The 16,651-nt window shown below is 34.9% G+C and overlaps 1 protein-coding gene and 1 long non-coding RNA gene across 7 annotated transcripts in view; one reads left to right on the forward strand and one right to left on the reverse strand.

The window, feature by feature from the left end:
- Positions 1 to 16,651, reverse strand: part of PTPRK (protein tyrosine phosphatase receptor type K) — a 551,815-nt gene that overhangs the window by 87,631 nt on the left and 447,533 nt on the right. For all 6 annotated transcript variants that reach the window (NM_001291984.2, NM_002844.4, NM_001135648.3 and 3 more), the window contains 2 exons: positions 11,104 to 11,377; positions 8,343 to 8,379 (listed from right to left, as the gene is read on the reverse strand). In NM_001291984.2, the coding sequence (NP_001278913.1) occupies positions 8,343 to 8,379; positions 11,104 to 11,377 (311 nt within the window). The remainder of the gene's footprint in view (positions 1 to 8,342; positions 8,380 to 11,103; positions 11,378 to 16,651) is intronic.
- PTPRK-AS1 (PTPRK antisense RNA 1) overlaps positions 1 to 16,651 on the forward strand; it is a 58,429-nt gene that overhangs the window by 28,551 nt on the left and 13,227 nt on the right. Inside the window, exons 2-3 of the long non-coding RNA NR_125849.1 lie at positions 6,287 to 6,406; positions 11,072 to 11,181. This is a non-coding gene — a long non-coding RNA (PTPRK antisense RNA 1). The remainder of the gene's footprint in view (positions 1 to 6,286; positions 6,407 to 11,071; positions 11,182 to 16,651) is intronic.

The following is a 16,651-nucleotide window of genomic DNA, read 5'->3' on the forward strand; positions in this document are numbered from 1 at the left end:
GAAATATGCTTTTCTTTTTTTTTTTTTGAGATGGAGTCTCTCACTATCTCCCGGGCTGGAGTGCAGTGGTGTGATCTTGGCCCACTGCAACCTCCGCCTCCCGGGTTCAAGCTCTTCTCCTGTCTCAGCCTCCCAAGTAGCTGGGATTACAGGTGCCCGCCACCACACCCAGCTAATTTTTTGTATTTTTAGTAGAGATGGGGTTTCGCTATGTTGGCCAGGCTGGTCTCGAAGTCCTGACCTTGTGATACACCTGCCTCGGCCTCCCAAAGTGCTGGGATTACAGGTGTGAGCCACGGCGCCTGGCTAGAAATATGCTTTTAAATACCTGTTCTCCCTTTTTACTCAAGTAAGAGTTTGAAAACCTGAACTGCATACATATTGGGTGTAGAAAGATAGTAAAAGTATGAATGGGTAATGGATAAACATAATTTTTAGGATTGTTCAGCAAATAATTAATGAATCAAGGTATTATATAAGCTGGTATACAATCTGAATGGCAAATGACTAAATGAGCTGTCATTTCTTAGAAGGTTCTAAAGAGTGTTTTCAAGAAATACTTTTCAGAAGTGTTTCAAATAAAGTAGGCCCATATTCTCTACTTAGGGAAGGATTTGGGGGAGATACAGGCTATGGGTGACTTTATCTTATGTCATAACTCATTATCTAAAGGAAGTCCTTAAATTATCCCTCAGATTTCTCTCTTAGTGTCAATAATGATTAATTTTCTAATTATTTTTCTACATCCAATTTTCTACTTCCTTAATTGTATGTATAATTTTTGGAATTTTCTCTAATTTCTTCAAATATTCTTTTAACTAGCCCTTGAGACACTTGATATAGATATTGTACAGAAAAGAGTTAACGTAGCAGGACTAAGACTGAAATTCTTGGAAAGGGCGGCTTGCAAAGTTGACCTTGGACTGATGTCCGGGAACTCGGATTTGGGAGGTTTCCCATCATTCCCTGAGAAGAGTGGTTCATTGTGCCTAAATTGTGCAAATAATGTGCTTTATGCTAAAAGTCTAGTTTCCTTCTGGGAGAAGGGAATCTTGGCAGATGATAGCAAGAAGGGGTCCATGTGACCAGTTCCCACTAAAAACCTTAGGAACCGAGTCTCTAATAAGCTTTCTTGATAGACAGCATTTCACATGTGCTGTCCCAATTCCATCCTGGAGAAATTAAGCATGTCCTGTGTGATTCCATAGGAAGAGGCTCTTGGAAGCTTGCACCTGGCTTCCTCTGAACTTTGTCCATGTGACTTCTCCCTGTCCTTATTCTGCTTTGTATCCTTTCACTGTAATAAGTCGTAGCCATGAGAACAGGACAACTCACAGGATGACTGAGTCCTCCTTGTGAATCACCGAATCTGAGGGTAGTCTCGGGAACCCCTGAGACAGATACATATCTAGATAATATAATATTTAAATCATAATACATCTATATAGGTACTGCATACCTTTTAACTTTTATTAGTTATTTTACCTCTTTTTTACAAATTAAACAATAAAGTGTATATTCTTTGTTGTCTGCCTTTTACTCAAATAATGTTGGTTATACTTATGTATATTATTTTGTGTAGTCATAGTTTGCATTCTTTGCTTTAGAGCATGGCATTATGTGAATATGCCCAACTTACTTATCCAATCTACTACTGGTTGTTGCTGGGTTATTTCCAGTTTGTTGCTTTTATAAACAGTGCTGCTATAAATTTTGTACTACATGTTTTTGGGTGTATTAACATACATATTTCTTTGGTGAGTATCCCAGGAATGGAATTGTTGGGACATGGGTTTACTTTCAGTCCATGTTGCTAGACAGTTTTCCAAAGTGGTTGTGCAAATTTATACCCCCACCAGCAGGATGGTAGGAGATTTCCAGTTATTTTACATCCTTCTTAAGACTTGGTATTTTCTACACTTTTTCATTTTACTAATTTTGGTATAGGTGTAGTGGAATCACATTGTGGTTTCAATTTGTATTTTCCTGTTGAGCACCATTTCATAGGTTAATTGATCATTTTGTATTTCCTTCTCTCTTAAGTGCTCAAGTGTTTTCTCCATTTTCTAATGGATTGTCTCTTGTCTCCTCACTAGTTTTAATAGTTTTTAAATATGTTTTTGATATGCCTTATTTCAGATATATTTATTACAAGTATCTTTTCTCCTCTGTAAATTCTATTTTACTCTCATAATGGCATCTTTTGACAGGAAAGAGGTCTTAAGTAGAATTTATCATTTATTCCTTTTTGTTTAGCATATTTCTATCTCCTGTCTAAAAAATCCTTGCCTATTATTTTTTTAAAAAATTGTTTAAATTTTTTTTTTCTGGTGGAGGATGGTGGAGTCAATCTTTGACTATTGTAACATCATAAAATATGTTCTATATTCTTCTAAAAACTATACTGTTATAACTCTTATATGTAGCTGTATTTTTTTATATAGTGTGAGTTAGGGGTCAAGATATAATGTCTTCCATATAGATATGGAAAAACTGTCATTTATTGAAAAGGGTACCTTTTCCCCTCTTCCCTACAGTTTTACCTTTGTCATAAAAAATGGTGAACGTGTGTGTGCATCTATTACTGGAGTTTCTCTTTCACTGGTCATAATTTTTATTCTTGTGCTATTACCACACTGTCTTAATTACTCTAACTTTATATTGGCCTTGATAACATCCAGGAACTGTATTTTAAGAGTAGCCTTGCATATTCTTATTCTTTTGCATTTCCATTTTGTCTTTAGAATCAGATTGTTAATTTTTTTAACAAAATTGGGATTTTGATTGCTTTAAATCTACACATTAATGTAGGAGCACTGACATTTCACCAATATTGAATCTTCTAATCCATGAACATGGTGTGCCATCCCATTAATTTAGGTATTGTTTAATTTCTCTCAATAAGATTTTGTAGTGTTCAGTGTAGAGATGTAATCTATCTTTCACCAGATATATTCCTACACTAATTTTTAGAGATACATTATAAATGACAACATCTTAAAATACTGTTTTGTTGCTGCTACACTATTGATTTTTGAATATTGATGATATAACCACCTACCTTTTGAATTTTTTGCTGAAATGGATTATAAGTTAGTTCCCTTAGGTTGTACCAATTTATGTTTTTCCAGTCTCTTCTAAGTATGTGATTACAGCATTACAAATTAGGTTAGAAACTCTATCCTTTCCACAGTTAACACTGACAGTTTGATCAGTTTATGAATGAATGTCATCACTTCTCTCCCGTAGACGTGGCCATAAATGTAAGGTACCTGCAACAGGCTCCTCAGGAAAGAGAGGGTAATAGGTCAGAAATCTTCTCATAAAACAGTTTAATTTCCATAAAAGCAAAATGCTTGAATCATCTTCAGGTCCGTTCTATTTTTTTCCATTTCTCTCTATATCCTAGCATCCCAGTTATCATTCTGTCAAAAATTATTAGACTAGTAATACTCCATATGCAAACAATAATAGTTTGTAACTTTTAAAGCAAAGAAATATTTAACTTCCATCTAACTTGGGGTTGGGATGAAAACAGTGATCATGCACCCTTGAAGGTCCTCAACTCATATCTTTTCTGTTTCGGTGACTTGGCTATTTCTCTAGGAACATGGTGGAGAAGAGTCTACTTATACTAGCAATGAGAGCAGAGAGAGAGGTTCCGGGGTCCAATGTGAAGTGAATTAAGATGAAATCAGTTAGACACAGGGTATTCCAGATATACAGTAGTAATGGTGAACTGTCGCCAACTTTAAGAATAATTCAAAATGCTGGGAAAAGATGAATGTTGAAAATTGTATGTGTTACTCCTTTTTAATTTCTAGTTCTGATCTTATGCTTGAGAACTATAAAAATATTCAGAGCTATTATTTCTACTTTGACTGTAAAATTTAAAGACATCCACCAATGAAGTCAGAGTTTCTCATTAGCAAAACATGGTACATTCTTATGCTACTTAGTTATGTCCATCCTTAAGACACTTGATAGAATTTTAATCTCTCATTATAATGTCCTGTATCCCGAATTTAAGACTTATTATAAGAAGTAATAATAGCTAGATTCTCTTTGGACTCTGTGCTCTAATATATCAACTCATTCATTCTGGTTAATTCATTTGAATAGGTCCTTCACATTGAAATGTGAGTACCAGGAAAGCAAAGAAGCTATAGAATATGGTCATAAGAATAGCAGTGATTACAATGAAAAGACAATTTGAGCTAAACTGTCTTCCTATCACAGAATTCAGCTGAAGAAAACTCATTTGAATAAAACTGATATAGACACAGACTAGGATTAAATTTAATTTAATTCACATTAGTTTATAGATTATATTTTTAACTGACTGCTTTGTTACTAAAATAAAGTCTTAGCTTTGGCAAAAGTATTCTATATTAGAATATGAAATATATATCACAATATAAATGCACAGTTAAAGAAATAAAAACAACTCTAGTTATTTAATAAATTTGTCTTAACTCACATATTGCTCTGATACTTTTCATAATTGCAGACAGTACTGTAACCTGTTTGATTAAACGTGAAAGCAGAAGCATCTACCTTACGTTTTGTTCAAATTCAATTACCAACTCAACAAATATTTATTGTATCTAATATGACTCTCACTCTGTATTTGTCCCTGGCATATAGTGATGTATAAGACTATTAAATCAGAGCTTCAAATTTGGCTAAATAATTTTTTTTTGTTTTAGTAAAATGTTTTATTTTCTATTATAAATATGATACTAACATGTAACAATGAACTCTGGCTTCTCCATACAAAATACAACTTTTTCTAAAATAAAGGGGATGTGAAAATAATTTCCAGAGAGAGAGTGAGTGAGAGAAACACACACTTTGTTCAAGGTACTTTGTCCCAGACTACATTTGGAATGTTTTAAGTTTTCAAAAAAATGAGAAAAAAAGCAACAGACTGTTGCATATGGCCTGAACAGAAAATTTGTGTGGTAAAAGGACACACTGCAAACTGGAATGTCTTATGGAGGGACACCAGATTTTCCAGAGAACTAAGTTCTTTTCAGCAAAATTGATCTAAATACAAAGGATATTAGGAAAGCAAGGTTCTAGCAAGGTTCTAGCTCTTCAGTACTCACAACTGACACTGGAAAGGGGGTGGGGGTTGGGAGGCAGGGGAGGGTCTGACTGTAGGGCAGCTGAAACACAAGACTTGCCCATAGGAGTCATCCAGGACCAAGAAAGGTCCTTTCTAGACCCTTTTCATTCAGCCCAGGGATTCCTGGGCAGGGTTGTCCTTCTCACTGAAAGTGGCTTATGTACTGAAGATGCACCTCGTCTGATAGAAGGAAACCTTCACTGAAGCTAGCAAGGTGAGCCTTTCAAACTCCAGAGACTCCTCTATAATATTCTCAGTGCTGTTTCTAACTCTGGCCATGCAATTTTTAATGTATAATTCATTTTTTTATATTGGGAAATACTTTACCTATCTACCTATATATCCACACACAAATTTATAAGAGTAAAGTGCACACATTTTAAATGTACAGTTGGACAGATTTTTACCTACATATGCACCTGTGAAATACTGAACCACTCCTTCACCAGAAGGTTCCTTCATGCCTCTTCCCAGTCATATGATTATGCCATTTTGACTATTAAATGTTTCTTCAAAACGCCCTGTCAGAAAACTTTTTATTTTCATATTGAAAAATTTCACACCAAAGCTGACCATACTTGCATGTTAGTTTAAAATGTAGTCAGGCAATAAGTTGATGTTACTTTAACAAATGTGGTAGTTTTTCTTTTTCATTTCTTTTCTTTTCTTTTTTTTTTCCTTTTGAGACATAGTCTCACTCTGTCACCCAGGCTGGAGTGCAGTGGTACAATCATAGCTCACTGCAGCCTCAAATTCCTAGGCTGAAGCAATCTTCCCATCTTCCAAGTAGCTGGAGCTACAGGCACAAGTCACCATGCCTGGCTCATTTTTTTTAGTTTTTGTAGAAACAGGGTTAGCTTTTCATATGTGGAAAAATGCTAAAGGTTCAGAGAAGAAAATATATTAGACCAGGGCAGAAACATTAAAAAACAAGCGAACAAAAAACCCTTAGTTTCTCCCCTGTCCTAGCAATCTCGATCACGAAAATTTAGATTTGTTTTTATACATATTTCATTCATAACTGTCTAACATAAGTTATGTCCCTCTTAAGTACAAAATTATTAGCATAATGATAAGATAGTTAACACATGTACTGTTTATAATATGTTAAGCACTATTTAAGCACTTCATATATATTTTATTTTATTATTTTAGAGACAGGGTCTCACTCTGTCACCCAGGAGTACAGTGGCACGATCATAGCTCAACGTAAACTGGAACTTCTGGGCTTAAGCGATGCTCTCGCTTCAGCCTCCCAAGTACCTGGGACCACAGGTGAGCTCCATCAAGCCTGGCTAACATTTTTTTTTTTTTTAAATTTTCAGTAGAAACAGGGTCTTGCTATTTTGCCCAAGCTGATATCAAACTCTTGGCCTCAAGCTATCCTCCCACTTTGGCGTTGCAAAGTGCCAGGAGCCACCGTGTCTGGCCTATATATGTTATTTTAATCCTCACAACAATAAGAAGGTGTAGGTACTCTATTATTTAATTTTTGGAATGAGGGTTTACATAAGTTTCTCAATACTAAAAAATTCCTAAGGGACACAGTCAATATTTGAACTCAGATAGTGTAAGGCCAGAGTCCTTTCTCTTACTCACTACACCACACCACACTGCATTCCTGAGATCCAGAAGTGTAGCAGAGCTGGATTATTAGACAAATAATGGACTATTTTTTACCACTTCAAAGTTTCTGTCAATTATTCTATGCCACATGGTAAGACTGTTTCCAGGATCTCAATCCTCCTATAGTTTAAATATCATGTGATATTTGTCATTTTTTTAAATTTGTATCGAGAGAGCGATAAAAGGACACAAACATCTCAGGCAAGAGCAAATAATGAAATAACTGAATAAAAAAGTTATGTTAGGGTAATATATAGCTACCATTTCTCAGTTACAGAAACATAGCATGACATATCTAAAGAACTTCAGAGGTCAATGTGGGACACTTTTACAATTTTGGTTCTACTTTAAATCTGGAAAAACACAGGTGATATAGACCTAAATGCTTTCTTCTATTATCTTTTAAAAATTTCAACTCTCGTTCCTGATCAGTAAGCTAAATTTTTAAAATAAAATCCTTATACATCGTATGTATCTGTGTATATTTTCTCTTTAAGAATTGCTTTTTTAAATAAAAACTACCAAAAGGAATCTTCATAAGTGAATTGAAAAAGTATATTTTTTTCTCTTCCATAAAGCTTCTTTATTATTCACAAGCGTCAAAGAGAAAGTCTTTCTTTATTGCCTTACAAATCAGGAGTAAAGCACAAATGCTGATTGAGCAGACTGATGATTAGATGGAGAAAACTGATGAAAGGAAAGATGCCAGTACAAACAGAATATGGCCATTGATTTTTACCCCAAATGAATCAACTACTGGACACAAATGTGGGTCTGCTACTAATTCCGGCAGCAAACCACCCCAAGAACCAACCCTTTGAGGAGGCCCACGTCTGCATGCAGACAGCTTTTTCATGTTTCTCTTGCTAGAATACACCAAGTAGCAATTTATTCTTTGTTGGCACAATCAAGTAACTCTTAAATGAAGAATTAAAAACACAGAGAATGTAGGAGACTTTCCCCCACTTGGAACTCTAAATATTCATTCAAAGATGCAAATGTTTTCTCTTGTCAAAGAAACTAGGCAGCTAAGCCATAATATGCCAGGTCAGCAGGAATTGCCCTGGTTATGAGCTAGCCATCACAGATCTGGTTTCTCAGAATAAGTTTTAAAAAAAGTAAATGATCTTCAAGCTAACTGCACTACTGATGAAGATATGGACTAATCTCTATCCCTATAATCTTATGTAAACATGAATTAGCTTGGTTCTTTTTATGTTTGATTGTCTACAATGGAAAGTAATAGAGGTTTTTAAACAAGCAACTTGCTATTTTCATCTGCTATTGCTGACGCTTTCCTAAGATATTGGTTGATCAGCAGCACAAGATTTTTCAGACACTAAATGGCAGAAATAAGCCCTTCTAAGGTTTTCTAGATCTTTCCTGTTATCATAACAAGATTCCTTCAGTCAAGTACTAGAGGATGGGAAGTAGCACCCCATTAGTTGTTAAAGACACCCACATGAGTCACAGAACTAACTATAACAGAAATGTCATATTTAGCCCTGAAGCAGGGAACAAAGTCCTTCCATTTTAGAAAGGGGGTGAGAGTAGTTAAAACAAGCAAAAAAAGCAAACCTCTTACCTTTTGTAGCAATGCGTACGCACTGGGTTTTAGTTTCCTGATAGAGTAAAAATGAAAAAAAAAAGAGTCAATGTACAGATAATGTTTCCTGTTTCATAAACTATAATTATTATGAAGATCCATCTGGGGTCATAAAAAGGGATTATAAACAACAGAATTTTAATATTAAGAAAACTTTAAAAAATATGCCCCCCTAGGGATACTTAAAAATCTAAAGTAAGAACTTTGAAAAATATTTTAGTTTTTATAGAGATGTAAATATTTGTTTTTACCTTGCAATGAAACAGGTTAGTTTGTGACAAGTAGTATAGCATTCTATTTTCATGTATAGTGCTTCGTAAACTATCAGAAAAATGTACTTGCAAAGCTAATAAAAACAGTTCCAAATATAAATTTAATTTTCATCTGAGAACTGTAGACTGAGACCAAAGCTGAACATTACATACTTTCATCTGGATCCTAGCATGACTAAAAAGCTAAATGATAGCAGTTAGAAAGATCATCAAAACATTACATCATAGTTATGGTGTAATTTATCTGTTCTTTCTTTCTTTTAATTTAGCTATTAGGAGTTAAATGTTTCTCAGCATACATAATTTTCCTCCTCTTGCTAGACAGAGCGGGTATACAAAGTAGAAGCAGTAGGAAAGGACAAGAAAAAATATGATTATTTTTAACGCTGTCAGGTGGCAGTAGGAGACACATGTCCCTGCCAGCTACTTTTGGCCCCACTCTTCCTCCTCTAGGACTTAATTGAGTCAGCGTACATCCCTGAATACACAAGAGGTGAGAAAAGGTATCAAAGCCAGTGAACAAACCAGAGGCGATCTGTTTGCAAGATGCATTTATAACTCTATCTTGAGTAGTTCTATATGTTGATAATTTATAAAAGAGTTTACAATTTCCACTTAAGCATTTTTTATTTTTTTATTTTTAAATTAAAATAAAGCAGTGAGGGGGGAATTAGTAATTAAAAATAAAATGTTGCACTTCTATTACTTGTGGCCTGAGACCTTCATGGTAACCTGCAAGAGATTATTTCACATTCCCATAAAGGCCCCAAAGGATTTTCATTTCTTAAAAGCAATTGCTGTTTAACTTTCTAATGGCATTACCAATCTCTACTTGTAGAAGTCACATCAACTTTAAAACTCTTTGCCAAGATAACTGTGAAATATATTGTTGCTATTCTGTACTTTGATTAAACCACAGTGCAGATATATTAACAATTGGAAGAGAAAATTCATATCAAAAAGCTTTAAAGAATGCAGAGAAAATCCTTTATAAGTAACAGACATTCATTAACACTCCTCTGGTATAATAGACCAAATAACCAAAGTTAATTTGGAACCTCTCTAAAGATCAAAACCCTCACACAAAACTATGCTTCCTACTCAATGCTATATTATACCCAGAATGGACTAATAACTTCCATTGTGTTCTGTTTTTATAGTAGCCCAGTTGTAACAGTGGTATGGAATGATATGTAGGCAGAAAGTGGACACTGGACTACTCTCTAAAGACCTCAGTTCTTTAAAGGTAAACGAGAAGAGCATCTTCAACCATGAGCAGCCTCTGACTCTGGAGCACATCTTAGAAGATGCTGTGGCCTTTTTCTTTGCTACCTACAAGCCAAGCATACAGGCAAGCAAACAACAAAGCTTTGATTCAAAAGCAGCCAATCAATACCCAAAGCTCTCACGGCCCCTGCAGAAATGCAAAAGGATTGTTATGTCTTCCAATTAAACTCTTTAAGATATAATATGACTGATGTAATTGTATATCATGTATCACTCCCAGGTGCTCACCTTAGGGACTCAATTACATAAACCCAGCAATTTCCTATACGGCTTCAAGTCTATTAAAATGTCATCATTCTATTGGATTTTAAATTGTGAAAATTTCTATCCTCAACATTTGTCTTCCCTCTATCTCTGTCTGCCAATAAATAAATAAATAAATAAATAAATAAATAAATAAAAATAAGTTTTAGGAAAGAAAATCTTCCAAAGAGAACAGCATGAGGCATGAAAGGCCAGGTTGTTTTCCCACATACGGAACTGCCGGTCGTTTCTAATGTCCTGTTGTGTTTTCCTCTTCAATATTCATTTGGGATCAGCAGCAGTGTTCAAAAACAACTGTGTCCAAAATGGGAAAAGGAGGGGCAACCAGGGAAACAGAGAGCAGCCTTCTGTAATGGCTCAGCAGCCAGTCATCGCCAGGCTGCCTTTTGTTTAGGTTCAGTCAGATATACCACAGGCGCCCTATTACTTTGTAATCAGAGGATTGTTACATGTTATTTACTATTTGGCTTGAAAACCCTGAAAAGTTTATAAGGTTTTATTAGCCTGCTGTGGAACACGCATTCTGTTTATCCTGCAGTAAATTTAATCTCTTGAAGTGTGCCACCACTGAGCAAGGAAGACAGAACAATGCCTGATCGTTACTGAGGGTGGAGTCCCAGCAGCAGCACACCCACGTTTTCAAATCATTTTACTCTCAATTGCTATTGTGGGCTTTCCTGAGGAAGGCTCGAGTAGAAGCAGTTACTAGGAAACAGGAACCCTGTGAAATGGAACTGGCGTGCGGCCTCAGCCCTACTGTAGCCCCAAAACTGCGCACACTGTTGAGAACAGAACCCCCTACATGCAAATTTTCTTTTTCTTTTTTTTTTTCTTGACGGATGCTACTGAGTATTCATAAAATTTGACTTCAGCTTTTCTTCAAAGCAGGGAAAAAGCAAATCCTGGAGGAAGCTCACCTTCTCCACACTGCTCATCGCCTGGAAATAGATGTTGTATCCTTTGCGCGGAGCCAAAGGAGGGTTCCAAAAGCCTTGGTAGGTCCGATTGTCACCCACAGTGAACGGGGCAGGCTCAGGTAGGTTTCCCGGGGGGAGTTCTGCAGCAAAGTAATACGGTGCACCCCCACTCATGGCATTTTGGTATGTGACAGGAACCTGGTAGCATTCCATGGCTCCGGCTTCTCTCTTGGTTCGGTGTGGGTGCAGTTCTTCCACAACAATCTGATAAGCACTTTGGGGAAAAGAAAAAAAGAACACACATATATATACACACATATTTAGAGATTTAAGATACTAAGATTTTTTTTAAGGGGTTGACTATTAACACACCACATTTCAAAGTATTTAAAGTTAGTCTTAACCTGGTATACTCTTTTCAGCTATTTCGCAATAAAATGAAAAATCCATATAGATGCTGCTGTCCCTAACATCACTGTAGTTACAAAGAAACTGATAAAAAGAAGAACAATCACCGTAGGACTTTCAACATTTTTAAATGTTGAGGAATGAGCCACCCTAATAAGGATTCTGACATTAACCAAAGACACATCATAGATTCAGTTCTTTGTCTGATATTTTTAAATGTTTAAAGTTAACATTTTCCCTTGAAATGATATTACAGAAAGTCCAGCTCCAAGGTCTAACAGAATGACTGCCTCAGGGCGGTGCTAGAAGCACCCATTTGTGGTTGTCACAGCCTCAGAGACAGAATGTACTGACAGGCTTCTCCACCTCTTGACCTTGCCATGGCATCTACACTGGCTCAGAGCTATGTAGATCTAAAATACAAGTGACATGCGGCAATACGGGCACAGATGGACAGAAATCTGTCCTCACAACCGAAATAGACCGCCTCCTTCTTCTGGAGTTGTTAATAATAAAATGTTACAAATTGTAGAAACAGATGGCATTTGGCCTATTAAAGCTCTAACCTAAACCTTCTGATATCTTTAAGTCTTAAAACTTTTCTATAATTGCAATTACTTTACAAAGGAGAGAAAAAAACAAAAAGAAAAACAAGGCAAATTTAAAATAAAGATCCCCCGGATATCTAACAATATTTTTTAACAACTCTGAAGCTGGTATATTAACAATATTCTTTTTTAGTAGAAAATTCTTTACGTTAAAATTTTTTCAGGTAAAATATTACCATGAAAGTTGACATTATTATTATAATATATTTTATACATTATAAATATATTTTAAAATGTTTTAAAATTCCTAAAAATTCTGGAAAAATATATGTGGTATCTTAGGTAAGTTGAACATAAATTGTATGCAGGGCTGCATATTGATATTCAATGGATCTCCAGGAGGAACAGAATACATTCTTTAAAAGACTTCCATGAAAAAGAAAGAGGTGGGTAGGTAGAGGGGAGTGGGGAGGAGAGGGGGAGGGAGAAAGAGAGACAGAGAGAGAGAGGAGAGAGAGAGATACACTGAACATGCATCTATGAAAATTAAAACAGTTTAGACTCTGGCATAAAATTCTAATTTAATATAAACTCTTATGCCTACAAATAAAAGATCTTCATAGATTAAACAAAAGGACATCAAAAGAAAGAGTTAAATCATAATTTAATTGATAAATTACAGATTTTCTTTTCTTCCTAGTTATTTAAGCTCCCATTTTCCATTAAAATATTGCTAATAAATCAGTAGGTTCATATCCATCTTGTTTCCTCTAAAAAGATAACAGAACTTGTATTAATGTTAGAAATTGTGATTTGAGCAAGCAAGGCAGAAGTCTATGTTATTTCAAATTATATGTGCTGCATCATTCCCTATACCTCTGCCAAGTTGGTTGCTAAGCTTCTAAGAATGCTACTGACAAGATGCATGGTCTCTGAGGCATCCATGGAGCAGGCATTTGTCAATTTTAAGATATAGAAAATACATACGCATAGCCCTGGAGAAAGACGAGAATGATCATAGCTGACATATGCTATGTTTTATTTTAAATTTATAATTCATATTTGTATATTATACATTTGCATGTCCTGTGGATACATCCACATATGCATATAAACTCCCTCATACATGCTCTCCAAACAAATGTAACCTTATATTCTTGCCCTAAAGAATAATAATAATTACCTATCCTTGTTAATCATTAATCTAATCCTTAAAAATAGATTCTTCATTAATTATCCCATACCTCTAGAAAAAAAAACACAAAATCTAGTGAACATTCAATCTTAACTAATTCTATTACATTGACAGAGATTCTACATTACAAATTAAGGATACTTCATGCAAGACAGCTTGTCTATCTAGATCTGTGAGGAGCAAAGTAAATTGCCAGTGTTGGAGAAGAGTAAAGGAAGAAAAGGTGCAATAGGCTCTTTGGGAAAGAGCCTTAAGTATGGTCCCATAGAAAATAAAAATCAATGCCTTGGGTTGAACTTTCAGATTTGGCCCTACTCTCAATTAAAATGAAAGATAAATTATTTCAATTTTATAAGTTCTAAAATACAAGTAACATGCTTGTTTCATAAAGAATTAAGAAAATGATTTCCACATAATTTATATACAAATATAAATTACAGTGCCATGCACTTTAATCTTATATATCTTTTCTCTACCAATATTATTCATTTATTCTTTGAATGGTCATTACAGAAATGAAGTATTATATTTCTGTTACTATTGAAACTGAGGCAGAAGAATAGAGCTCCCCTTAAAACTTAAACCAGGAACCTCACTTTGTTCATTCTCTACTTTATACTACAGTGTTACCAACTGAATATTTGTGCCCCCTCCCCCAAAATTCATGTTAAAACCCTAATTCTCAAAGTGATAGTATTTGGAGAGGGGGCCTTTGGAAAATAATTAGGTTTAGAAGAGGGGCCCTCACCAAGAACCAAATCCGAGAGCACCTGGATCTTGGACTTCCCAGTCTCCAGAACTGTGAGAAATATTTCTTGTTTAAGCCACCTAGTATTTTGTAATAGCAGCCTGAGCAAACTAAGACACATAAATACAAAAAGACTTCTGAGAACTGGCTTCCAAGCATACTTTCTAAAACATTCTTTGTGCAATGAGTAACATTAGATGGAACGCTAGTTGGAGATAACCTGGTCACCGCACTCTATAACCCTCCCACTCTACCACCACTCATACCAGGAGAAATGTCTTCATGATATAACATTCACCCCAGTTTCTAGATATTTTTAATCCCAAATATGTTTAACTCCAAAAGCTGATACAATAGCCATTACATTTTCACATATTATACTTACTTAAACGCCCATTATCCTATTTGAAACCACACTGGAATATGTGGTTTCAAATAGGATAATGGACGTTTAAGTGTTTATGAAATGAATACATTGCTTTTGCCTTTTCTGTTGATATTTTTGCTTAGGACATATCTAAGATACTCTTTTTCTTTCTCCATGAAAGTACATTTTTCACCTGAAAAATCCCGAGCATTATTTGAAGAGTAAGAATTTTCTCATTTACCTTTCTTCCTGTGACATTGTATCCATTAACTCATTTTCATTCAACAATTATATATTTAACAGGTATCATGCAGGCTCTGAGGATAGAGAGGTTAAAAAAAAAACACCTGCCTTTCACGGACCTTATATTCACTTTTATTTACTGAAACTTCTAGTGTTCTACCATCTTTAGAATGCTTTCTGCCCCTCTCAAGTTTGATACAGTTTAAAACGACAACAAAACTAAAATGTATACTTTCTTTTCAACTCTGTTCACTTAGGAACCTGTGACTGTCCATGGTAAGCATTTAAAGTGACTGGGACAGCTACCCAGAAGTAGATCTTCAGAGTCTTTTAAAGTCATCTCTCATACTCCCTTTTGCTTTTACACCCAAACGAAACTGAAATTGTACTACTTTTCTATAACATCACCCAGAAATACCCGTTTCAGTTTAAAATCTTGATATACACCTGTCTGCTGTACTGCTGTCTTTCTGTTCTGGACCTCTGCAGCATGCTACCTTTTCAAGATACTGAAAATATGAAAAGTATCTTTCCTTGTACCAGTATCCCTCAAAATTCTCTAGTGGCATTTTACTCTCCTTAGTTGGGCTCAGTCTTTAGTCAGTGTCTTTCTGGATGCATCACTTTGTGCATCTATTTCTACCTTTTTTCATGCCCATTGAAGAGGCATTTTTATAACTCACACAGAAATCAATTGTAATCATGGTGAGTCTTTAAGAAGTATTTACATTTAGTGAAAAACAGCTATAAAAATAACAAAAAGTCACACTAGTCCATGTTTAAAAGAAACTATCTTTCCTTCATTGTTCAATCTGAAAGGCTGTTCTCTAACCACATTTCCAATTTTTAAATCTGTTTCTGTCCTTGTTATTTTCTTATTTATCAATACAAATTAATTAAAAGATGAAATAAGAAATAAGAAATCGCATTAGAAGTGAGTTGACTAATTACATGAAATGGGATTGTGCTTCTTCATTCTTCTGGTTGTCTAATTACCTAATGGAACTAAACTCTAGCTAGATCTAAATATTAGGTGAGCTCAGTACTTTAGTAATTAAAACTATTCCAAAGTCATCATAATATTTTTAATCACTCTACCCATAGTTAATATATTCCCCATTCCTTTTAATAAACTTCAAAAATATTTCTGTAATTAGGTTAAATCAATATATTGGTATCATTAATCATTCAATACACAAAATGTGACTTCCTTATTTTTTAAAAAATTAAAATGACATATTTTACTACATTATATGGAGGTTTCTCAACTTATGATGGGGTTATGTCCCAATAAACCCATTACAAGTTGAAAATATTGTAAATTGAAATGAATATAATACATCTAACCCACTGAACAGCATAGCTTAGCCTAGCCTAACTTAAATGTGCTCAGAACATTTACATTAGCTTATAGTTGGCAAAATCAGCTAATACAAAACCTGTTTTATAATAAAGTGTTTAATATCTCATGTATTACATATCACTAGCCCAGGATAATAGCAACATTAAAATTTGAAGTACAGTCAAATTCAAAGTCAAACTCTGTACTTTTTACGCTGGGGTTGATAAATTACCACATTCCTTACCTTATATCTCCATTCTTGTTTTATCTCCTGATATTTATTTTCCATTCGAAGCTGGTATGACCATTGTTACCCAAATATACTAAACATACAGTCAAGAATTTCTGCCTTTCTTGTCTAGTTTTTCTACTTCTGCCATGAAGGCTTCTTGAACTATCTTCATTCCTCAGTACTCTGTCTTCTAAAGGCAATGGAGTAATTTTTAAGATGAGGATGACTGAAGGATGACATGGGGGTAGAAGTCACAATCACAGGGATGCATGTTTAATCTAGTTCCTAACCCACTGACAATTATAATGCCAAAGATCCATTTATCAGAACCATAAATGGTATTCTCAAAAACTCTAGGGTGGAAAAAACAAAAGACCTAGCATTGCTGTCTAATATTTATTGCTTATATGATACATCAGTATGTGGCCGTAGCACATTACATGCACCAACATGGTACATTACAAA

The sequence above is a fragment of the Homo sapiens genome, chromosome 6 (genome assembly GCF_000001405.40).
Source record: "Homo sapiens chromosome 6, GRCh38.p14 Primary Assembly".
Classification (NCBI taxonomy): domain Eukaryota; kingdom Metazoa; phylum Chordata; class Mammalia; order Primates; family Hominidae; genus Homo; species Homo sapiens.